The 24974-nt window shown below is 39.3% G+C and overlaps 1 long non-coding RNA gene across 3 annotated transcripts in view; it reads left to right on the forward strand.

Annotated features, from left to right (window-relative positions):
- LOC105374911 (uncharacterized) overlaps positions 1-23687 on the forward strand; it is a 43091-nt gene extending 19404 nt beyond the window's left edge. The window contains exons 3-5 of one of the 3 annotated variants that reach the window (XR_007059438.1): positions 4825-4932; positions 20903-21008; positions 23220-23687. This is a non-coding gene — a long non-coding RNA (uncharacterized LOC105374911). Of the gene's footprint in view, positions 1-305; positions 484-4824; positions 4933-20902; positions 21863-23219 lie in introns of those variants that run through there. The other 2 variants (XR_926444.3, XR_926445.3) reach the window with 2 other exon arrangements.
- Positions 23688-24974: the final 1287 nt, after the last annotated feature.

Below are 24974 nucleotides of genomic sequence, written 5' to 3' on the forward strand. Positions count from 1 at the left end.
ATTCCTGTTTTTCCCATTGATACTTTCCTATAGTAAAAGTAGAACATGAATCCCATGTTCATAAATCCCTTTCTTATTAATAAGTCAGCTTCTCAGGCATTCTGATAGATTATATTCCTAGACAGTGGATATAAGCATACTGGAGTCTGAAACACATTCTCCATTGTGAGAGAAGGTGTCAGGCCACTTATCAGGCACAGGTTTCCAGAGGGAACATGTGATTTCTCTCCTTTGTCCCTGCTCCCTTCCCTTCCTTATCCTTGATTCCCAGAGGGAGCCCACAAACCCATAACTGTTTTCCATAGTATTCTAGCTCCCAATCCAAGAATGGAGGCATATGGAAGTGGATGAAGCTAAACTATGGTATCGGAAACTGACCCTGAGTGAAGAATCTGTGTTACTGTTGAGGCTCTGCCCTGAGGATCTCTGTGACATGGCAGAGCTCACCGCGTCCCCTGATGCTTCTTCATCTGTGGGAGTCTGTGATGGGGTAAGAGGGCATTTAGTAATAGGTAATTAATGAAGTTCAATAAAAAGTCTGAAGAAGGAATGGCTAAGATTGTTGTTAATGATTCTTTAATTTTTTGTAATATGCATTAGAATCTTTCCAACTGGAAATGCAATAATATGAGATTAATTTTGTTTTTTAAAAAACAGGCTAGAAATGAAACAGGGCATTACAGGGATGCTTTAAATAGTTTCTCTGTTGAGTTCTTCAGCTCACACTAGAAAAAAGTTGAGGAAGGAACATGAAATGTGTGAGAATTAAAGGGCTGCAGAAAATAAAAATTTATGAGTTTCTAGGGCAGTCTCTCTTTTACGCACACACACACTTACACACACATTCCAAAAATAAATACTGATGGGTGTTAGTGTCACCTAATGGGCACATAGAACTGAAAGAAATGTTTATAATTCTGACCTCAGTGACTCCAGTCAGCTCAGTCCTTTAGTGTTTAATATTGTTTCCGAGTTTGTGCTGTTAAATCAAAAGGTTATCTATAATACATCTGGTGCTATTAATGCAAAAGATCAGGGGTATTCAAAAGAAATTTATTCATTATTAATTTAGATAATAAAGGATCATTTATGAGGCTTCAGATGAGATTTTTATCATCAAAAGCTTAAAAAGGGAAATTTATTTTTGCTTCGGGACAGACATGAGAGGGATCCATAATGGGAAATGTGAGAGTCAACACAAAACTGTCAGATTCACTCTGTTTCTGAAGATGGCTGATACTTTATAGCAACAGATTAAAAAGAAAATAAAATCTTGTGCTTTAAATTTCTATTGACAGCGACTTCATGATTTATTCTAGGTTTGTCCTTTATTGAGATGTTTTGTTGATGTTCTCTGCTTCTTTCTATTACATTTGTGGTCTTTGATGGCTTATGTAAATTGAATGAGGGAGGAATTAATCAAATTTTACAAAATATTAGGGACTGTTGGCAAATAAACAAAGGACCAAGTTGGCTCCAGAATCTTTACAAACTAAGCAAGAGCTATGTCTCCTCTAGATTTTATTGAACACGAGAAGTAATGAGAAAGGGTGGCTTGAAAATATACCATTTTGGAGAAAGGTGATATAACACTGGGGGACCTGGAAGAGCTCTTAGGTGTGGAACATAGGATTACTGGAATTGCTATTACCTTATGCTGTTGGAGCTGATCAAAGTGGATGTTAAATGGATTTTTAAGGGAGTTGAGATTTTCAGAATTTCTCTGACCTTGAATTTGCAAATACACACAAATGAACCAATTCTCTAACCAGTTATGGTAGGTGACTTATTGGAATTTGAGTTTGGAATCATAAGTGAGAAATAGAAAACTAAGGATATCCTACACAGTATCAGCTACATACCAAGTGATCGGGACATGTTTGCTGAATAAATGAACATGTCTTGTTAAGTCCAAGTATCACAGTTGAAGTTACCTTGTACCAAAGGACAGTGGGGATATTACAAGGGCATTTATTTATTACTAATATACATAATTGAAAACCATGTGTTTGGGATTTCAGATGAATTATCTTCATTAAAGAATAAAAAAGGAAGATATTTGGACAAAAAGGCCCCAGGTTAGCCTGATTTTAATATTAGCTAGTAATTTCAGGACTAAAAATGGAATAAAACTCCATAAAATCACACATTGCTCCCTCTATACCTGCTTTATTAGGGTAAAGGGCAATTGGAGATCAAGTCCAATATCCTACTCAATAAATATGCAACCAAAACAAAAGTCGTGGACTATCTCTAGCTCCGTATCAGACCATTTGTGCGTGGAAAAAAACCCCTTAAACCTAGCCATCAAGCATCGAAGATAAATGTGGATCATTCAAATATATTGTTATGAGATGGGCGAGTGCTGTGAAGGAGCCTTTGTATTGGGCATAGGCTTGGCTGTCAACACTCATCCATCTGTCAAATGTTCCCACATGTGCTGAAGAGGCTGGCGAGGTAAAAGCAGATTTTCTAGACATCCTTGCACTGATATTCCAAGTGAGATTTAGGTTTTGAAAATCAGGTGCACTTATGTAAAACTTGGAAGAGGCAAAGCTGCTCGTGTGTTGTTTGTTCCTGGCAACACCTTCATGGTGGCAGTTTGGTTTCTCTGTTGTTCTCAGAGATCTTAGACTTCAGTCACTAGCTGTGTTGGTTTGGAAAGCCAAAGAACCATCATATCCTTGGGAAGGGAAGATTATAGCAGGCATGGCAAAGTTCTGGAATGGGAAACAGAAGTGTTAATTTCCTCCATGTGTTGGTGGGGGCGTGGTTCTGGAACTGGCTAAATTTTTAATTCCTCAAATTATTTTTTAAATATATTTTTATTTTTTAAATCGACACATAATAATTGTACACATTTATGGGGTACAATGTGGTATTCCAATACATGTATGTATACTGATCAAATCATTATAATTTGCATATCAATTACCTTAAACATTTATCATTTCTTTGTTGTAAGGACATTCAAAATCCTCTTTTCTATCTATTTGAAATATATAGTACATTGTTGTAACCTACTGTGAATAGAATATAATAACTTATTCCTCCTAACTGTAACATTGTACCCATTGACTAACATCTCCCCATCTCTCCCTTCTCCCTATTCTCCCCCATTGCTGGTAACCACTATTCTACTCTCGACTTGTATGAGATCATTTTTTTTAGATTCCACATGAGTGAGAATCTCAATTCCACAATACTAGATTCCACATGCAGTATTTGTCTTTCTGTGGTTGGCTTATTTCACTTAACGTAATGTCCTCTAGGCTAATATAGGTTGTTGCAAATGACAGGATTCCATCCTTTCTTACGGTTGAATAGTATTCCGTTGTGTGTATATACCACATTTTCTTTGTCCATCATCTATTGATGGGCACCTAGATTAATTCCATGTCTTGGTTATTGTGAATAGTGCTGCAATAAACGGGAGATTATAGATGTACATACTGATATTATTTCCTTTGGACATATACCCAGTAGTGGGATTGCTGGTTCTTATAGAAGAGCTATTTTTAACATTTTGAAAAACCTCCATACTGTTTTCCATAATTGCTGTACAAATTTACATTCCCTCCAACAGTGTATATGGGTTCCTCTTTCTCCACATCCTTGCCAGCATTTGCTGTTTTTTTTGTCTTTTTGATAGTAGCCATTCTAACTGGGGTGAAATGATTTCTTATTGTGGCTGTGATTTGTCTTTACCTGATGGTTAATGATGTGAGCATTTTTCATATACTTACTGGCCATTTATATGTCTTCTTTGGAGATACATCTATTTAGGTGTTTTGCTCATTTAAAAATCAGATTATTTATTTTTGCTTTTGAGTTTGAGTTCCTTATAAATTCTACATATTAATTCCTTGTCAGATACATAATTTTCAAATATTTTCTCCCATTCTGTAGGTTGTTTCTTCACTGTGTTGATGGTTTTCTTTGTGGTGCAGAAGCTTGTTAGTTTGATGTAATTACATATGTTTACTTTTGCTTTTGTTGCTTGTGCTTTTGAGTTCTTGTAAAAAAAAAAAATTGTTGCCTAGACCAATGTCATGTTTCCCTGATGTTTTCTTTTAGTAGTTTCATAGTTCCGGGTCTTATATTTGAGTCTTTAATCCATTTTGAGTGGATTTTTGTACATGGGGACAGCTAGGGGTCTAATTTTATACTTTCACATGTGAATATCAAGTTTTCCCAGCACTGTTTGTTGAAGAGACTGTCCTTTTTCCCTTGTGTGTTCTTGGTGCCTTTGTAAAAATCCAGTTGACTGTAAATGCATGGATTTACTTCTGGGCTCACTATTTTGTTCTATTAGTCTACATGCCAGTACCATGCTGTTTTGGTTACATGGTATATAGGTTTGTAGTATATTTTGAAATCAATAGTGTGATGCCTCTGGCTTTGTTCTTTTTGTTCAGGTTGCTTTAGCTAGTCAGGGCCTTTTGCAGTTCCATAAAAATTTTAGAATTGCTATTTCTATTTCTGTAGAGTGTCACTGGAATTTTGATAGGATCACATTGAATCTGTATATCACTTTGGATAGTGTGGACATTTTAACAATATTAACTCTTTCATGGACATGAAATAGCTTTCCATTTATTCATGTCCTTTCCAATTTTTAAAATTAATATGTTACAGTTTTCATTATAGAGGTCTTTCACTTTTTTGGTTAGATTTATTCCTAGGTATTTTTTTGTAGCTATTGTAAATGGGATTGATTTCTTGATTTCTTTTTCACATAGTTCACTATTAGCATATATAAACATTACTGATTTTTTAAGACCTGTTTCATTTTATTACACTTTGCTTAATTTTGCTTCACAGGTACTGCATTTTGATAAATTGAAGGTTTGTGGAACGCTGCATTGAGCAAGTCTATTGGTACCATTTTCCAACAGCATGTGCTCACTTCATGTCTCTGTGCCACATTTGGTAAGTCTCATAATATTTCAAAATTCTTCATTATTATTATATCTGTTATAGTGCTCTGTGATCTGTGATCTTTGTTTTTAAAATCTTATTTTTAAAAATTTGTGTATATTATCATGGGGTACAAGTGCAATTTTGCTACATTGATATATTGCATTGTGGTAAAGTCTAGAAACATTACTGATTTTTCTATGTTGATTTTATATTCTGCCATTTTACTGTATTTGTTTATCAGTTCTAATAGTTTTTTTCTGGAGTCTTTGGGATTTTCTAAATATAAGATCATATCGTCTTCAAACAGGGACAATTTAATTTCTCCTCTCCAATATGGATGCCTTTTATTTCTTCCTCTGGCCTAATTGCTCCCAGTACTATAACTGTTAAAAGTGGTCATCCTTGTCTTGTTTCACATCTTAGAGGAGAAGCTACAACTTTTCCACATTTAGTATAATGTTGGCTGTGAGTTTATCATATATGGTCTTTATTATGTTGAGGTATTTTTTTTTTAACAAGCCATTTAACTGGAAGAGGTATGCTTCTTTTGTGCCCAATTTGTTGAGCGTTTTCATCATGAAAGAATGTTGACTGTTGTCAAATGCCTTTTTGGTATCTGTTGAAATGATCATATGGTTGCTGTCATTTATTCTGTCTGTTGTGGTATATCACATTTATTAATTTGCATATGTTAAACCATCCTTGGGATGAATCCTACTGAATTATGGTGAATGATGTTTTTAATGTGCTGTCAAATTCTGACCACTAGCATCTTGTTGAGAATCCGTGCATCCATGTTCATCAGGAATATTTGCTTGTAGTTTGTTGTTGTTGTTGTGTTTTTGTTTGGTTTTGGTATCAGAGTTATGCTGGCCATGTAGAATGAATTTGGAAGCGTTTCCTCCTTTTCAATTTTTAGAATATTTTGTGAAGAATTGGTATTATTTCTTTAAATATTTTGCAGTATTCTGCGGTAAAACCATCAGGTCCTGGACTTTTCTTTGAGGGGAGACTTTTTATTATGGCTTTAATCTTGTTACTTATTATTCATCTGTTTAGATTTTCTATTTCTTCTTGATTCAATCTTGATAGGTTGTATGTATCCAGGAATTTATTCATTTATTCTAGATTTCCCAATTTGTTGGTATAAAATTGTTCATAGTAGCTTCTTTTTTAATTTTTATTTCTTCTAAAAAAACACAGGATACGTGTGCAGAACGTGCAAGTTTTTTACATAGGTATACATGTGCCATGGTGGTTTGCTGCATCTATTGACGCATCCTCTAAGTTTCCTCCCCTCACCCTCCACCCTGCAACAGGCCCTGGTGTGTGTTGTTCCCCTCTTTGTGTCCATGTGTTCTTAATGTTCAACTCCCACTATGAGTGAGAACATATGGTGTTTGGTTTTCTGTTCCTGTGTTAGTTTGCTGAGGATGATGGCTTCCAGCTTCATCCATGTCTCTGCAAAGGACATAACCTCATTCCTTTTTATGACTGCATAGTATTCCATGGTGTATATATACCAAATTTTCTTTATCCAGCCTGTCATTGATGGGCATTTGGGTTGGTTCTATGTCTTTGCTATTGTAAATAGTGCTGCGATAAACTTATGTGTGCATGTGTCTTTATAGCAGAATGATTTATATTCCTTTGGATATATATACCCAGTAATGGGATTGCTGGGTCAAATGGTTTTTCTGGTTCTGGATCCTTGAGGAATCACCACGCTGTCTTCTACAATGGTTGAACTAATTTACATTCCTACCAACAGTGTAAAAGCATTCCTATTTCTCCACAGCCTCACCAGCGTCTATTGTTTCCTGACTTTTTACTAATCACCATTCTGACTGGCCTGAGATGTTATCTCATTGTGGTTTTGATTTGCATTTCCCTGATAATCAGTGATGTTAAGCTTTTTTTCATATGTTTGTTGGCTGCATAAATGTCTTCTTTTGAGAAGTGTCTGTATCCTTTGCCCACTTGTTGATGGGGTTGTTTGTCTTTTTCTTGTAAATATGTTTAAGTTCCTTGTAAATTCTGGATATTAGACCTTTGTCAGATGGGTAGGTTGCAAAAATTTTCTCCCTTTCTGTAGGTTGCCTGTTCACTCTGATGATAGTTTCTTTTGCTGTGCAGAAACACTTTAGTTTAATTAGGTTCTATTTGTCAATTTTGGCTTTTGTTGCAATTGCTTTTGGCGTTTTTGTCATGAAGTCTTTGCTCATGCCTATGTCCTGAATTGTATTGCCTAGATTTTCTTCAAGGGTTTTTATGATTTTGGGTTTTACATTTAAGTCTTTAATCCATTTTGAGTTAATTTTTGTATAAGGTGTAAGGAAGCGGTCCAGTTTCAGTTTTCCCAGCACCATTTACTGACTAGGAGATCCTTTCGCCATTGCTTGTTTTTGTCAGGTTTGTTGAAGATCAAATGGTTGTAGATGTGTGGTGTTATTTCTGAGGTCTCTGTTCCGCTCCATTGGTCTATATGTCTGTTTTGGTACCAGTACCATCCTGTTTTGGTTACTGTAGCCTTGTAGTATAGTTTGAAGTCAGGTAGCATGATGCCTCCAGCTTTGTTTTTTATGCTTAGGATTGTCTTGGTTATACTGGGTCTTCTTTGATTCCATATGAAATTTAAAATAGTTTTTTTCTAATTCTGTGAAGAATGTCAATGGTAGTTTGATGGGAATAGCATTGAATCTGTGAATTACTTTGGGCAGTATGGCCATTTTCATGATATTGATTCCTCCTATCCATCAGCATGAAATGTTTTTCCATTTGTGTCCTCTCTTATTTCCTTGAGCAGTGGTTTGTTGTTCTCCTTGAAGATGTCCTTCATATCCCTTGTTAGCTGTATTCCTAGGTATTTTATTCTCTTTGTAGCAATTATGAATAGAAGTTCATTCATGATTTGGCTCTCTGTTTGTCTATTGTTGGTGTAAAGGAATGCTTATGATTTTTACACATTGATTTTGTGTTCTGAGACTTTGCTGAAGTAGCTTATCAGTTCAGGGAGTTTTTGAGTGAGATGATGGGGTTTCCTAAATATAAAATCATGTCATCTGCAAACAAACACAATTTGACTTCCTCTCTTCCTATTTGAATACCTTTATTTCTTTCTCTTGCCTTACTGCCCTGGCCCAGAACTTCCAATACTATATTGAGTAAGAGTGTTAAGAGAAGGCATCCTTGTCTTGTACGGGTTTTCAAAGGGAATGCTTCCAGCTTTTGTTCATTCAATATGATATTGGCTGTGGGTTTGTAATAAATAGCTCTTATTATTTTGAGATATGTTCTATCAATATCTATTTTATTGAGAGTTTTTAACATGAAGGGATGTTAAATTTTATCAAAGGCCTTTTCTGCATCTATTGAGATAATCATGTGGTTTTAATCTTTTGTTCTATTTATGTGATGGATTACCTTTACTGATTTGCATATGTTGAACCAGCCTTGCATCCCAGGGATGAAGCCAACTTGATCGTGGTGGATAAGTTTTTTGATGTGCTGCTGGATGCGGTTTGCCAGTATTTTATTGAGGATATTTGCATCAATGTTCATCAGGGATATTGGCCTGAAATTTCCTTTTTTTTTTTTTTTTTTTTTGAGACAGAGTATCGCTCTGTCACCCAGGCTGGAGTGCACTGGCGCAATCTCGGCTCACTGTAAGCTCTGCCTCCCGGGTTCACACCATTCTCCTGCCTCAGCCTCCCGAGTAGCTGGGACTACAGGTGCCCGCCACTATGTCCAGCTTTTTTTTTTTTTTGTATTTTTAGTAGAGACGGGGTTTCACTGTGTTAGCCAGGATGGTCTCGACCTCCTGACCTCGAGATCTGCCTGCCTTGGCCTCCCAAAGTGCTGGGATTACAGGTGTGAGCCACCACACCCAACGGAAATTTCCTTTTTTTGTGTGTCTCTTCCTGGTTTTGGTATCAGGATAATACTGGCTTTATAAAATCAGTTAGGGAGGAGTCCTTCTTTTTCAATTGTTTGGAATAGTTTCAGAAGGATGAGTACGAACTCCTCTTTGTATTTCTGGTAGAATTCAGCTGTGAATCCGTCTGGTCGTGGGCTTTTTTTGGTTGGTAAGCTATTAATTACTGCCTCAATTTCAGAACTTGTTATTGGTCTATTCAGAGATTCAAGTTCTTCCTGGTTTAGTCTTGGGAGGCTGTATTGTCCAGGAATTCATTAATTTCTTCTAGGTTTTCTAGTTTATTTGCATAGGGGTGTTTATAGTATTATCTGATGGTAGTTTGTATTTCTGTGGGGCCAGTGGTGATTCTCCTTTATCATTTTTTACTGTGTCTATTTGATTCTTCTCTCTCTTCTTATTAGCATAGCTAGTGGTCTATTTTGTTAATTTTTTAAAAACCACCTGGGCTGGTCGCGGTGGCTCACGCCTATAATCCCAGCACTTTGGGAGGCTGAGGTGGGCGGATCACGAGGTCAGGAGATCGAGACCATCCTGGCTAACACGGTGAAAGCCCGTCCCTACTGAAAACACAAAAAAATTAGCTGGGCGTGGTGGCGGGTGCCTGTAGTCCCAGCTACTCTGGAGGCTGAGGCAGGAGAATGGCGTGAACCCGGGAGGTAGAGCTTGCAGTGAGCCAAAATCACGCCACTGCTCTCCAGCCTGGGTGACAGAGTGAGACTGTCTCAAAAACAAAACAAAACAAAACAAAACAAAACAAAACAGCTCCTGGATTCATTGATTTTTTTGAAGGGTTTTTCATGTCTCCATCTCCTTTAATTCTTCTCTGATCTTAGTTATTTCTTGTCTTCTGCTACCTTTTGGATTAGTTTGCTCTTGCCTCTCTAGCTCTTTTAATTTTGATGTTTGGGTGTCCATTTGAGATCTTTCTAGCTTTCTGATGCAGGCATTTAGTGCTATACATTTCCCTCTTAATACTGCTTTAGCTGTGTCCCAGAGATTCTGGTATGTCGTCTCTTTCTTCTCATTGATTTCAAAGAACTTCTTGATTTCTGCCTTAATTTCACTATTTACCCAGGAGTCATTCAGGAGCAGGTTGCTCAATTTCCATGTAATTGTGTGGTTTTGGGTGAGTTTCTTAATCCTGAGTTCTAATTAGATTGTACTGTGGTCTGAGAGACTGTTTGTTATGATTTCAGTTCTTTTGCATTTGTTGAGGAGTGTTTTACTTCCAATTATGTGGCCAATTTTAGAATAAGTGCCATGTGGCCCTGAGAAGAATGTATATTCTGTTGATTTGGGGTAGAGAGTTCTGTAGACATGTACTAGGTCCACTTGATCCAGATTTGAGGTCAAGTTCTGAATATCCTTGTTAATTTTCTGTCTGGTTGATCTGTCTAATGCTGACAATGGGGTGTTAACATCTCCGACTATTATTGTGTGGGAGTCTAAGTCTCTTTGTAGGTCTCTAAGAACTTGTTTTGTGAATCTGGATGCTCCTGTATTGGGTGCATATACATTTAGAATAGTTAGCTCTTCTTGTTTAATTGTTACCTTTATCATTAGGTAATGCCCTTCTTTGGCTTTTTTGATCTTTGTTGGTTCAAAGTCTGTTTTGTCAGAGACTAAGATTGCAACCCCTGCTTTTATTTTTGCTTTCCATTTGCTTGTTAAATTTTCCTCCATCCCTTTATTTTGAGTCTATGTGTGTCTTTGCATGTAAGATGGGTCTCCTGAATACACCACACACCGATGGATCTTGACTCTTTGTTCAACTTGCCAGTCTGTGTCTTTTAGTTGGGGCATTTAGCCCGTTTACATTTAAGATTAGTATTGTTATGTGTGAATTTGATCGAGTCATCATGATGCTATTTGGTTATTTTGCACACTAGTTGATGCAGTTTCTTCATAATGTCATTGGTACTATGGTACTAATATGGCATGGAAAACATATTTTCATGTGTTTTTTGTGGTGGCTGGGACTGGTTTTTCCTTTCCATATTTAGTGCTTCTTTTAGGAACTCTTGCAGGGCAGGCCTGGTGGTAATGAAATCCCTCAGCATTTGCTTGTCTGGAAAGGATTTTATTTCTCCTTCACTTATGAAGCTTAGTTTGTCTGGATATCAAATTCTGAGGGGAAAATTCTTTTCTCTAAGAATATTGAATATTGGCCCCCAATCTCTTCTGGCTTGTAGAGTTTCTGTTGAAAGGTCCACCATTAGTCTGATGGGCTTCCCTTTGTAGGTGACCTGGGTTTTCTCTGTGGCTGCCCTTAAGAGTTTTTCCTTAATTTCGACCTTGGAGAATCTGATGATTATTTGTCTTGTGGTTGATCTTGTGGAGTATCTTAGTGGTGTTCTCTGTGTTTCCTGAATTTGCATGTTGGCCTGTTTTGCTAGGTTGGAGAAGTTCTCCTGGATAATCCTGAAGTGTGTTTTCCACCTTGTTTCCATTATCCCCATCTCCTTCTGGTACTCCAATCAATTATAGGTTTGGTCTTTTTATGAAGTCCCATATTTCTTGGAGGCTTTGTTCATTCCTTTTCATTCTTTTTTCTCTATTCTTGTCTGCATGCCTTATTTCAGCAAGGTAGTCTTCAAACTCTGATATCTTTTTTTCTGCTTGGTTGATTCAGCTGTTGCTACTTGTGTATGCTTTATGAAGTTCTCATGCTGTGTTTTTCAGCTCCATCAGGTCATTTATGTTCCTCTCTAAACTGGTTGTTCTAGTTAGTAATTCCTCTAACCTTTTATCAAGGTTCTTAGCTTCTTTGCCTTGGATTAGAACATGCTCCTTTAGCTCAGCATAGTTTTTTTTATTACCCATGTTCTGAAGCCTACTTCTGTCAGTTTGTCCATCTGATTCTCCATCCAGTTCTGTGCTCTTGAAGGAGAGACGTTGCAGTCATTTGGAGGAAAAGAGGCACTCTGGCCTTTTGGGTTTTCAGCATTTTTTGTTGATTCTTTCTCATCTTCATGAGTTTGTCTAGTTTTGGTCTTTGAGGCTGCTGACTCTTGCATGGGGTTTTTTTTTTGGCAGCTTTTTTGTTGTTGATGCTGTTGTTGTTGCTTTCTGCTTGTTTGCTTTTCTTTCAATAGTCAGGTCCCGCTTCTGTAGGGCTGCTGCAGTTTGCTGGGGGTTCACTTCAGGCCCTATTCATCTGATTTACTCCTGTGCCTGGAGATATTACTCAAGGAGACTGGAGAACAGTAAAGGTGGGTGCCTGCTCCTTCTTCTGGGAACTCTGACCTTGAGGGGCACCAATCTGATACCAGTAAGATCACTCCAGTGTAGGGTGTCTGACAACCCCTGTTGGAGGGTCTCACCTAGTTGGGTGGCACAGGGAACAGGACCCATTTAATGAAGTACTTTGCCCCTTGTTGGAGGGGGTGTGCTTCCCTGGGGGGAAACCCACTCATCTGGGCTGCCTGGATTCCTCAGAACTACCAGGAAGAGAGGCTAAGTTGGCTGGTCTACAGAGACTGCGGCCACCCCTCCTCCTAGGGGATCAGGCCCAGGTAGATCCAGAGTCTGTCCCTGAGCCTCTGGCTGGTGTTACTGGCTCTCCTGCAGGGAAGCCCTGCCCAGTGAGGAAGGATGGGTCAGGGTAAGACCTGAAGAGGTGCTCTGGCTGTAGACTGCCACAGCCGGTGTGTTGGGCTGTGGGGACAAGTCTTGGGACCAAATCTAGCCTCCCTGGCTCTAGCAGTGGAGAAGTGCAGACTGGATCTATGGAGATGGCTGTCACCCTTCCCCCACCTAGAGATCTTAGTGAGTTACGCAGTTGCGAGTCCCAGTGCTGGCTGCTGCCCTTCCTCCAAGGAGCTAAAACTGCTTAGACAGCAGGCAGCTGCAGCTGTGGTGCTGGTCACCCCTCTCCCCAGGAGCTGGGTAGGCTTAAGTAGATTCCAGCTGAGAGGCTGAGGGAATCTGCATGTTCTAGGGTTGGGATGCTAGGCCCTGGTGGCGTGGGTTCGTGAGTGGGATCTTCCAATCTGTGGGTTGCACAGTTCCATGGAAGAAGCACAGTTTCCCTGGCTGTGTAGCGTGCTCACTCACCACCTCCCTTGGCTGGGGGGAGGGGGTACTCCTACCCCATGTGGTTCTCAGGTGGGCCGACGCACCACACTGTTCTTCCTTCTCTCTGTGGGTCGTACCAGCCTTCTAGTCAATTTTGAAGAGGGAACCTGGATACTTTGTTTGGTGATGAGGGATTCACACCCTTATAGCTTTTTTTTGATGGGAGCCTCTGAATGCCACTGCTTCCAGTTGGCCATCTTGGCCCTGCCCCCGTGGTGGTTTCTTATAATCCTTTTTATTTCTGTGTTGTTAGTTGTAATGTCTCCCTTTTTATCTCTGATTTTATTTATTTGAGTCTTCTCTTTTGTTTCTTAGTCTGGCTAAGGGTTTGTCAATTTTGTTAATTTTTTTCAAAAAAACAACTATGTTTTGTTGATCTTTTATATTATCTTTTTAGCATCTGTTTTATTTATTTGTGCTCTGATCTTTATTATTTCTTTCCTTATAGTAATTTTGGGTTTAGTTTGTTTATCTAGTTCTTTGAGATGAATTGTTAGGTTGTTTATGTGAAATCTTTCTTCGTTTTTGATGTAGGGCATTTTTTGCAGTAAACTCCTCTCTAAGGACGGCTTTGCCGAATCCTATAAGTTCTGGTATGCTGTGTTTCCATTTTCAATGATCTCAAAAAATTTTTAAATTTATTCAGTGACCCATTGATTGTTTAGGAGTATGTTAGTTAATCTCCATGTATTTGTATAATTTTCAAAGTTCTTCCTGTTGTTGATTTCTAGTTTTATTCTATTATGGTCAAAAAGATACTTAATATATATATATTTTTAATTTGTTAAGACTTGTGACCTAACAACATATGATCTATCCTGGAGAATATTCTATGTGCAGATGAGAAAAATGTGAATTCTACAACCATAGGCAAAAAAACAAAAAACAGAGACCAAAAAGCTTGACCTAAGCCTCGTATTTTATATTTAAAAAATTTTTTAAAAAGGATCATAGGCTTAAATGAAAATGTAAAATCGTAAAACTTTTAGGCAGGGCAAGATGGCTCATGCCTGTAATACCAGTCCTTTGAGAGACCAAGTTGGGAGAATTGCTTGAGGCCAGAAGTTCAAGATCACCCTGGGCAACATAGTGAAACCCCATCTTTCCAAAAAAAATTTAAAACATTAGCCAGCTGTGGTGGCTCATGCCTGTAGTCCTAGGTACTTGGAGGCTGAGGGAGGAGGATCATTTAAGCCCAGGAGTATGAGGTTACAACAAGCTGTGATCACACTATTGAACTCTAGCCTGGGGCGACAGAGAGAGACCTTGTCTCTAAAAACAACAACAATGACAATGACAACAAAAACTTTTAGAAAAATAATGAGAGAAAATCTTTAGGATTTAGGGTTAGGCAAAGTGTTCTTATACCTGAGACCAAACATAATTCATAAAAAGAAGAGTAGATAAATTAGACTTCATCAAAATTAGAAATTTTGCCTGCAAAAGTCTCTCTTATGATGAAAAGACAGGTTTCAGACTGGGGGAAATACTTGCAAACCACATGTTCAACAAATGACTATGTCTAGACTAGCTCTTCAGGGCTGGGGTATATAAATAAATCTCAAAACTCAACAGTAAAAATCTGGGCATGGTGGTAAGCACCTGTAGTCCCAGCTATTTGGGAGGCTGAGGCAGGAGGATTGCTTGAGCCCAGGAGTTTGAGGCTGCAGGGAGTTATGATTGCACCACTCCAGCCCTGGGGACAGCATGAGATCCCATCTCTAGAACAAACAAACAAACAACCTCAACAGTAATAAACATTTCGATTAGAAAATGGGCAAAAGACATGAAGAGATATGAATAAATATTTCATCAGGCAGGATTACAGATGGAAAATCACCTGAAATTATGTTCAACATCACCAGCCATTATGGAAACCAAAATTAAAACCTGTTAGAAAGGCTAAAATAAATAAAATAAAATAAAAGGCTAACATTAAATGCTAGCTAAGGTATGGAGAAACTGGATCTCTCATACAGTAGGAATGTAATGGTGCAGCCACTCTGAAAAAGTTGGGCAGTTTCTTAAAACCCTAAGCATGCAACTGCTATATGATTGAGTGATTGCTGTCCTGGGCATTTATCCCAGAGAAATGAAAACTTACTTTCACAAAACATTGTGAATTTCTTTAAGCAATTGTTTATAGAATCTTTATTCATAATATCCTGAAACTGACAATAACCCATATATCCTTCAATGGGTGAATTGTTCAACAAACTATGGTACATTGATGCCACAAAATATTTCTCAGGAATAAAAAGAACTATGAAAAGAACATGAAACACACTATTAAAATACAACTTGAGGCTGGGCGCGGTGGCTTATGCCTGTAATCCCAGCACTTTGGGAGGCCGAGGCAGGTGGATCACCTGAGGTCAGGAGTTTGAGACCAGCCTGGACAATATGGCAAAACTCCGTCTCTACTAAAAATCCAAAAAGTTGGCCAGGTGTGGTGGCGGGCACCTATAATTCCAGCAACTTGGACGCTGAGGCAGGAGAATGGCCTGAACCCAGGAGGCAGAGGTCGCAGTGAGCCAAGATCACGCCATTGCACTCCAACGAGGCCAACGAGCAAAACTCCGTCTCAAAAAACAAACAAACAAAAAACAACAACAAAAAAACTTGAATAAATTTCTAGAGAATTATACTGAAAGGGAAAAAAGTCAATCTCAAAAGGTTTCACACACTGTATTATTCCATGTATATAATATCCTTGTAATGACAAAAATTATAGAGATGGAGAACAGATTAGTATTTGTAGGAGTTAGGAAGAGGATGGGGATGGGAGGGCGATGGAATGGCTATAAAAGGCTAACACGAGGGATCCTTGTGGTGATGAAAGTATTCTATATCTTGAGAGTGTCAAATTGCCTTCCATAAAGAGTATTCCAGTTTATATGCCTGCCAATATTGTAATGAATATGCCAAATATTCCCATGTCCTAGCCCCCCACCCAATGTATTGTATCACACTTTATGACTTTTGACAGCCAGATCACTGGTGGTGGTATTGTTTCCACGTGTATTTTACGTGATCTGTGAATATCACTTAAACATTTTTTTCTCATGTTTAAAAGTCATTTGTGTTTCTTTTTCTCTGAACTGCCTACAGATTTTGAGCTCACAGGGAAGCTCCCTGTCAAGATACTGGTTTCCTTAAATGGTCTCACCCACTGCCACCCCCTCTCCCTCCATACACACATATATCTTCTCTTTCTCATTAGGATAGTTCTTGATTTTATAATTAAGTTTTACCTCTGGTGCCTCTTGGAATCTCGAAGCAAGTGGTATACTTTCTTGCCAAAGAGTGGATTATTGAGAATAAATAGCTCGACCCTATTTATTTTTCTATGTCACACCTATTGAATTCTATAATACTACAATCCCACAAGAATTATCAGGACATATTTCTTTTGCATTCCCACTCTGCTTCTATTTTGAAGTTAGTTTAATTTACCATTTTTCTGTAGTGGGTGTTAAGCTCTTTGAGGTGGATGACCCTGTCTTTTCATCTCCTGCTCTCACTGCCTTGCACACAGGGCCTGCGTCTTGGAAGCCCTCGGTTGATATTAGTCCACTAGTGACTTTCCTGCAACACTCATCCTTGGGAGAGACCTTGAGATGTGTTTAGCTGACATTAGGAAGCCACAGCTTTGGGAGTGGCTAGCTTCTGTTTCTGTCCTGGCAAACTATTTCTAGGATAAAGATTTAGAGAGTCGTGGAAGTTGCTTCACAAAATGAATGGAAGTTTTGTTGGTTTGGTCACTTCTGATGTCTTTCTAGTCCCATTTGGTTGCTGTCCATTGTCCTCAGGCTGTCTTCTCTCTCTTGAAAACCTGCTGTTAGCAAAGGACTTGATAAGTTCATTCACACTGAAGTGCAACTGACTGATAACAGGTTAGATGAAGAGTTTGCATGGTAACCTATTCAAAACCTGAAGCTGAGCAATGAAGCTGTAATGCTGATATTTCATGATATAGATGGCAAGTGTGAGAGTTAAGTGTTTGGCCGAGCAAAAGTCTTACATTCTAGAAATCTGAACATGGAGATAGCATGAATTTTCTCTACTCCTGCATGAGACCCTGGTCCCTCTTTTGGACTGTGGAGGAAGTGAACTTCTAAGCAAGCTAAGCAGATGTAGCAGTGGTGCACAGGGTCTATTTATGCATTCTGGTCCACATCATAATAGATGCACCAAGGAAGGTGGTAATAGTTCATTTTAAAAACTCTCCTGTTTTATTATACTAATTGATGCAACTGATGATGTTTCTCTTCCTTAATAATAGTGACATTCATTTAATATCTCCATATTAACTAGTAGGTTCCAACTTATACTAACAGCATTTTTAGAAAAATCTATTAAAATTAAGAAAGGCTCAAGGAAAACAAAAAGAATAATTCCATTAAAAAATAGAGCTTATTGTTGTAGACATTAATGGACTATCTTAGTCCATTAGGACTACTATAACAAAATGCCATAGACTAGGTGGCTTATAAACAACAGAAATTTGTTTTTCATAGTTGGGCTGGGAAGTCCAAGATCAAGGCACTGGCAGATTTGGTGTCTGGTGAGGGCCGGCTTCCTGGTTTATAGATGGTGCCTTCTTTCTGTGTCTTCACATGGAAGGGAGTGGCTAGCCCTCTAGGGCCTCTTTTATAAGGGCACTGATCTCATTATGAGGGCTTCACCCACATAACCTAACCACCTCCCAAAGGCCCCACCTCCTCATGCCATCATCTTGGAGGTTAAGATTTCAATGTGTGAATTTTGGAGGACCATAAACACTCAGTTCACTGCTTGAACTATCATTTCCCTCTTTCTCTTTCTATTTTCATGTAGCTATTCCCTTTATTGCAAATGCAATCTTCCTTTCTGCCACTGACATCTCTTAGCTTTAATTGATTTTCTTGACAGCGTTTTCCTATTCTGGTTCTTCTTCCGTTGTGCCATTTTCCAGATACAATCCTGTATTTATTTACACAGCTTTTTTTTAAAGCCCTTCATAAAAATTCCAGCAATTGTTTCTTGCTCTCTGCCTCTTCCAGAGAAATTGTAATTTGCAAAGGCTTAATTAGGATCTCTTAGGATTCTCCACACTTTAGGATTTTAATATGTACTATTAGCACATGGTAGTCCTCAGGTTTCTTAGCTCTTCCAAATTTTCTTCCCCAAATCTGTATAGTCGTGGTTTCTTAAAACATTTCTTTCTAAAAGAAGTCTGAAAGAAAACCAGATAAACATTATTATTACATCAAAGTTGCAAGCTGTTTCCGCACCACCATTTAGAATTGTTCTTTTAAGTTTTTAAAAAGCAAATGCTGAAATTCATTTGAATGCTGTGTTCATAATAAGAAACCATTTTAATGATCACATATGTTGTTGTTTTAAGGGCTCATTTTATAATTGAAAGAATACACTCTAGACTAGACTGTCTTGGGGATTTGATTCATGCAATTCCTTCTTCATTATGTACTGAGCTGTTTATTAATCAGCCTGGCTCCACAGTCTGTTTTTATTCACTTTGATTTCTTTTGTGTTTAAAGTTCAGGGTTTACATTTTCAGTACTAAAAATGAAGATGACTGCTGCTTTTAGTTGTTTGTTTGTTTATTATGCCAACTAGATTTCTAAACATTTCCAGGCTGCAAAGGGAAAAAAGAAACAACAAAAAAGATGGGAGGAATATCCTGTCAACACATTTGCTTATTATATCTGGAGCCCTTGGAATGAGCCAATTAGTCCTAACGTTCTATTTGAGATTGTATTGCAAAGGCATTTGTTTTGCAGCATGGATTTTTTTTTTAAGTTAGGAGCAAATAGGACCAATTATGTGCTTTGATTCAGAGAGTTTTCCACCCACCGCCTTCACCCAATTGTACCTCACTCCCTACTGTTGGACTTAAGCGCTTCTCAGTCTTTAGGAGTCTCCTGTAATGTGAATGATAAGTAGCGGATACACATTTTAGTCCAAAAGTCCAAAATGCTAAGATGCAAAAAAACCTCACCGTATTTCTTTCTTTAATGCAATTAATTTCCAGTTAATCCTGCTCCACAGACAGATTCATTAGTGGGTCTCCCTCATGCTGCATAAAAATTTAGGAGAGGGTGCTTCAGCACTGCAGAACATTTAGGGAAGTGTCCTCTGTTCCAGTCTACATTGATCACCTGGAAGAGGAAAGTATACATATAGTGGTGATAACCTACAAATCACATTTGTCAGTTTACTTGAAGAGCAAACAGGCTTTCAGATTAACCAACCTTGGGGAAGTCTTGTGATTCATGATGACACCCAGTTCCTGAGTAAAGAATCTTATATTGAGTGATACAAATTGTTGACGTACTGATTAATGTAAGACCTACTGACAAAGAACAAAGGACGCAGATTTATTTCTGAGTCATGAGGTTTTACTGATTGTCACACAGGTAGACATTTTAGCACCTGTGTAGCAATCTGTAACCAATGATTGCAGTTTCTATATTATGCCCTCCAGTGGAAATGGACAACTGTAGAGTGAGGAGTCCTCCCTTCTAAACTCTCCTATGAAAGCCTGTCCAACTTATAACAGATTCTGGAATACTCCCACTTTTGTTGGTGTGTTTTCCTGGGCCCATCCTCACATTTGGGTTCCAATAAAACTTTATTAATTTCCTTCCTTCCTTCCTTCCTTCCTTCCTTCCTTCCTTCCTTCCTTCCTTCTGAAACAGGAGAGTTCCCTGACCCCCCTCACAGAATGTGCAACAGGGGTTTGGCTCATTTATTTGGACACCATGTGCTCAAAACCCTTACAGGAGGGGAAGCATGCAGGTGAGCAGGTGCAGGAGCCAAGGCGAGTGCTTTTGGGCTCCAGTCCCATGGCAGTGTTTAGGTGTATTACAATGTTCTTTTAGCCCTGCCGTCTGGGGATTGCTTGAGTGTTAAACAGTTCAGTGAAGAGTCAGTGTGACAGCCTTTTTGGATTCCTGCACCTAGTGCGTCCCAAATTCTAGTCCAATGTCCAGGAAGAATCAGGTCACAAGGGCTTGAAGGATGGAGAATGTAGGGATTTTATTGAGTGATGTAGGTGGCTCTCAGCAGGATAGGGAGCTGGAGAGGGGATGGAGTGGGAAGATAATCTTCTCCTGGAGTTCAGCCATCCCACAGCCGATCTCTTCTCTGACCACCCCTAGCCGAACTCCTCTGGATGTTCAGATGCTTCCTCTCTTTTCTCCTTCTGTGTCGTACCACTCTGCTGCTCTTTTCCTCACGAATCCTGGGGTTTAGGGGTTTATATGGACACAGGATGGGAGGTGGGGGCATGGCGGGCCAAAAGGCAACATTTGGGCATGAAAACAGGAATGCCTGTTCTTATTTAGGGCCTCGGGTTCTCAGGCTTGAGGGTGGGGCCTTTGCAGGGGAACAGCCCTCTTCTACCCAGTATTTCCCTGCCTTCTGTTCATTTCCCTCCCTCCCTCCTTTCTTTCTTTCCTTCCTTCTTTCCTTTCTTCCTTCCTTCCTTCCTTCCTTCCTTCCTTCCTTCCTTCCTTCCTTCCTTTTCTCTCTCTTTATGGCAGGTTTTTCTCTGTCACCCAGGCTGGAGTGCAATCATAGCTCACTCCAGCTTTGAACTCCTGGGTTCAAGTGATCCTCCTGCCTCAGCTTCCTGAGTAGGAGTAGCTAGGACTGCAGGTGTGCACCACTGCACCTGGCTAATTTTTTTTCCCTATTTTTGTACTTTTAATTTTTTGTTAAAACAGGGTCTTACCATATTGCCCAGATTGGTCTCCAACTCCTGGCCTCAAGTGATCCTCCCACCTCAGCCTCCCAAAGAGCTGGGATTACAGGCATGAGCCACTGTGCCTGGCTTCAAATTATTTCTGCCTTAGCAGCTTTAATTTCTATTAACAGGGGAAAGAACAAAACACACATTAGGAGCTCAATCAATTAGCTGCTTTGGCTAATGTTTTGTTTCTTTGTGAATGGACACAGGAATGAAGAGAATCTGAACTAAGATGGGGTGAAAGTAGGAAATCATTCCCCCATGTCAAGTGCAAGGGCTATCCAGTTAGAGGCCAACACAGATGTCTGATCAAAGGTAAAAGTCTTTGTGTGCTTGCAACAAGGGAAGTTGTCTAATAGGGTCTGAAGACAGAAAGTCCTGTGGTTGTGTCCTGCCCTTCTCCTGCCACACTGGGCCTGCCTTCAGCAGCAATGTCCCTTGGTGGTTGTCCGCCCTCTGCCACCTGCCTTCATTTACTCTTGCAGTGGGGTTTATTTACTCTCACTATCATTTGGATATACAAAGAAATTTTAATTCCCTTATTTTTCAGACATCAACCTGACCTTCCTTATCAGCACTTGGTAATGATGGTGCTGACAGGTAACACAGTACAATCCAGTTAAACCCTTCATCTGATTCAATCGTTTAACTTTTTTTTGAGGTTTAATTTAGGATTTTATTATATTTTACCAGTCTTTTAGATTCCACTCTGCTGCTTTCCAGTATGGTGCAGAGGGAATATAGTTCCTGAGGAGAGGTGCCCATGACTGCCAGGTTTTGGAGGAAGGGGTGGCCTAGCCTCATATTGGTTCTTGGGGCATTCTGGCTGGCATCTGCTGAGGGATGTTTGGTGTGCCCCTATCCCTGGTCATTCTATGGTATCCACCCATGACAACTGTGGCCGCTAATCTCATGGTCTATTGTTTCTCAGACTTGGTCAGGGCCTGGCCAGCTTGCCCCAAACATTTGCAAGGCTGGGGGCAAGGCTGCTATGATATATGAATACCTAAAAGTTAGCAATCAAGCTGACACACTTTTAAATATGTTCCATTCCTTTACCTTGACAAATATATCTTTATAATGACAAAATTGAAAAATATGTTTAAAACTATAGCTTTTGTAAATTGGAAAGTCAGTAAAATATTGACAAATTTATTTATAATTATACATCTGAGTGTTCTGTTGATGGGTTGATATTTACATGACATACAATGAATACATAATTCAATGAATTTTGTTATATATTTCATTGATTTATTTTTCTTGATTTCATTTTAGCACAATCATTAATTACATTTTTATGATCAAGATTTTCATAATTTGGTTCCATTCATAGTAATGCCAAATGAGATAACATTTCCTGAATCATTATACTTTGTATATATTTTCCCTTAGTTTCAATCTGGAGAAATCTTGCTTTGCAGAATGTTTAGCAAACAGAATTGTCAATAAAAATTTTAAAGCAATATTTGATTTGGAATGAATCCATGACTTTTTTATGCATGTTGAAACATTGTAATGGAATTGTTGTATAATGATATAATAAAATTGTTGCTGAAGATATCATTATCAATTATTCAATTTCATCTTATTAATATCATTACTTACACCATGAGTAAGGTGGTCATCACCAGGTCTTTTGTTCCATATAGTTTATCTTCAGTTTTTCTTCTTTCAACTTTTGAATTCTTAGATAATTATATTTTTAAAAATGAAAATAGCTATGCTCTGCTCAAAATGTTCAGATCTCTCTTTAGTGAAAACTATGCCTTGATCCATAAGGGCCAAAAATGTTGCCTATAGAAATAGTTTGGAGATTATTTCTACATAAATCTTCTTCACAATCAAGCAGTTTTGTTTCCTTATTTTAATTTTATTTTTAATTGAAGTGTTACAATTTTCTACATTTCACATGCAGCCTGTTTCAATTTAGGCAAACTGTATTTTTCCAAAATTAAAAAAGTTTTGATCCTTTAAAAAATAAAATAACCAAAGTTAAGTTTTTGTTTGTGCTAATATTTATAGCAAGCAACAGTTCCAACCACATTCCATGAACAGTGCAAATTAAAAATGAATTTCATGTTTGTACAAAGCAATTCACTTTTTTTTTTTTTTTTTGACGGAGTCTTGCTCTGTTGCCCAGGCTGGAGTGCAGTGGTGTGATCTCAGCTCACTGCAACCTCCACCTCCTGGTTTCAAGCAATTCTCCTGCCTCAGCCTCCTGAGTAGCTGGGATCACAGGCGCATGCCCACCATGCCTGGCTAATTTTTTGTATTTTTAGTAGAGATGGGGTTTCACTATGTTGGTCAGGCTGGTCTCAAACTCCTGACCTTGTGATCTGCCTGCCTCGGCCTCCCAAAGTGCTGGGATTACAGACATGAGCCACCACGCTGGGCTCAATTCATTCTTTATATGAGCATCTTCTCTTGAGCGTCTTGTGTTGATTTACTTAACATTGTATGTACTAAAGTCGTTGTAATATCAAAGTTAACATGCGTTTCACCAAGATTTTTTCCCTCCTTTAGGCCAATCTAGAAAATACTGTATACGAGCTATGATTTTTCTCGAGAATATCATTGCCATGACACAGTTGAAGTCCTGCATCCCATGAGTCATACACATCTGTTGTGAATACTGATCTTGTCCTTGAGCTCCCCTGGGATTCCAAATTGGAACATAAAGAGAAGCAAGAAAATGGACATTTAGCACTTATAGGATAATTCTATTGTATTCCTGCTGAGAGAAAGAATTTCATACACCGAGTGCTTCTTCTGCTTGAAGCCCCTCTGCTTTGAAGTGGTGCGATCTCCCCTTTTAACCTCAGCAGTGGGGCCACCTCAACCCATAACAGCACTGAGAAGCAGTCATCTTGTTTTGAGATCACAAAGTATGTGAGGTGTATCCCTGGCATCTGGACGGTGCTAGTCACGAGAGTAGATGTTAGGTTGCGGGCATGCCATGCCAGCCCCGGGCACTGGATCACAAGCATTGGAGATGGCCATGTGTTTTTTTGTTTTGTTTTGTTTTGGTTTTTGAGACAGAGTCTCGCTGTGTCGCCCAGGCTGGAGTGCAATGGTGCGATCTCTGCTCACTGCAAGCTCTGCCTCCTGGGTTCACGCCAATCTCCTGCCTCAGCCTCCTGAGTAGCTGGGACTACAGGTGCCCGCCACCAGGCCCGGCTAATTTTTTTGCATTTTTAATAGCAACAGGGTTTCACCATGTTAGCCAGGATGGTCTCGATCTCCTGACCTCGTAATCCGCCCATCTCGGCCTCCCAAAGTGTTGGGATTACAGGCGTGAGCCACCGCGCCCGGCTGCCCATGTGTTCTTATCCCACAAAACCATCCACATAGGCACTTGGCTTTTTATGACTCTGGGAGAGTGTCATTGGAAGAATTAGGTGGATTCACATGTTCCAGTTTTTCATTCCTACGTTCCGTATAAAATACGATTATATTTGCTTGGTTGTGTATACTATTTTTGATAATTACTTTATTTATTTATTTATTTATTTTACCTTAAGGTCTGGGATGCATGTGCAGAACGTGCAGGTTTGTTACACAGGTATACATGTGCCATAGTGTTTGCTGCACCTATCAACCCGTCATCTAGGTGTTAAGCCCCGCATGCATTAGGTATTTGTCCTAATGCTCTCCCTCCCCTTGCCCCCCCACCCCCCAACAGGCCCCAGTGTGTGATGTTCCCCTCCCTGTGTCCATGTGTTCTCATTGTTCAACTCCCACTTATTAATGAGAACATGCGGTGTTTGGCTTTCTGTTCCTGTGTTAGTTTGCTGAGAGTGATGGCTTCCAGCTTCATCCATGTCCCTGCAAAGGACATGAACTCATGATAATAGTTTTATATGATTTCATTCTGAATATTTTATTTTTATTCCTTATTTAACCAATGTATTCGCCCGAGTGTGTATGTGGGTGTGTATGTGTGTGTGTGTGACATGCTGTGCCTGCTAAAATATGGGGCCTGAGGCACTTGACCTTGGGTGCCTCTTGTCCAGGTCTAATTAGGGTCAGGACTGGGACCTGGGACCTTCCCCAGGGACTCAGCCTGCTCCTTCCCTTAAAGATGCTGCAGACCCTTCCAAGTGACTGCTGTGTCCCAGGCTAGACACCCTGCAGCCTCACCTTTGGGCTCACCGTATTCTCTGCCCCAATGGCTTCTCTGGCTCTCAATCCAGTGTGAATTCCATATGGAAATCAGGGATGGCTCGGGTATGCAAACTAGACCATCCCTCTGCTTGGCCACAACATTCTTCCCTCCTA

The sequence above is a fragment of the Homo sapiens genome, chromosome 6 (genome assembly GCF_000001405.40).
Source record: "Homo sapiens chromosome 6, GRCh38.p14 Primary Assembly".
NCBI classification, from domain to species: domain Eukaryota; kingdom Metazoa; phylum Chordata; class Mammalia; order Primates; family Hominidae; genus Homo; species Homo sapiens.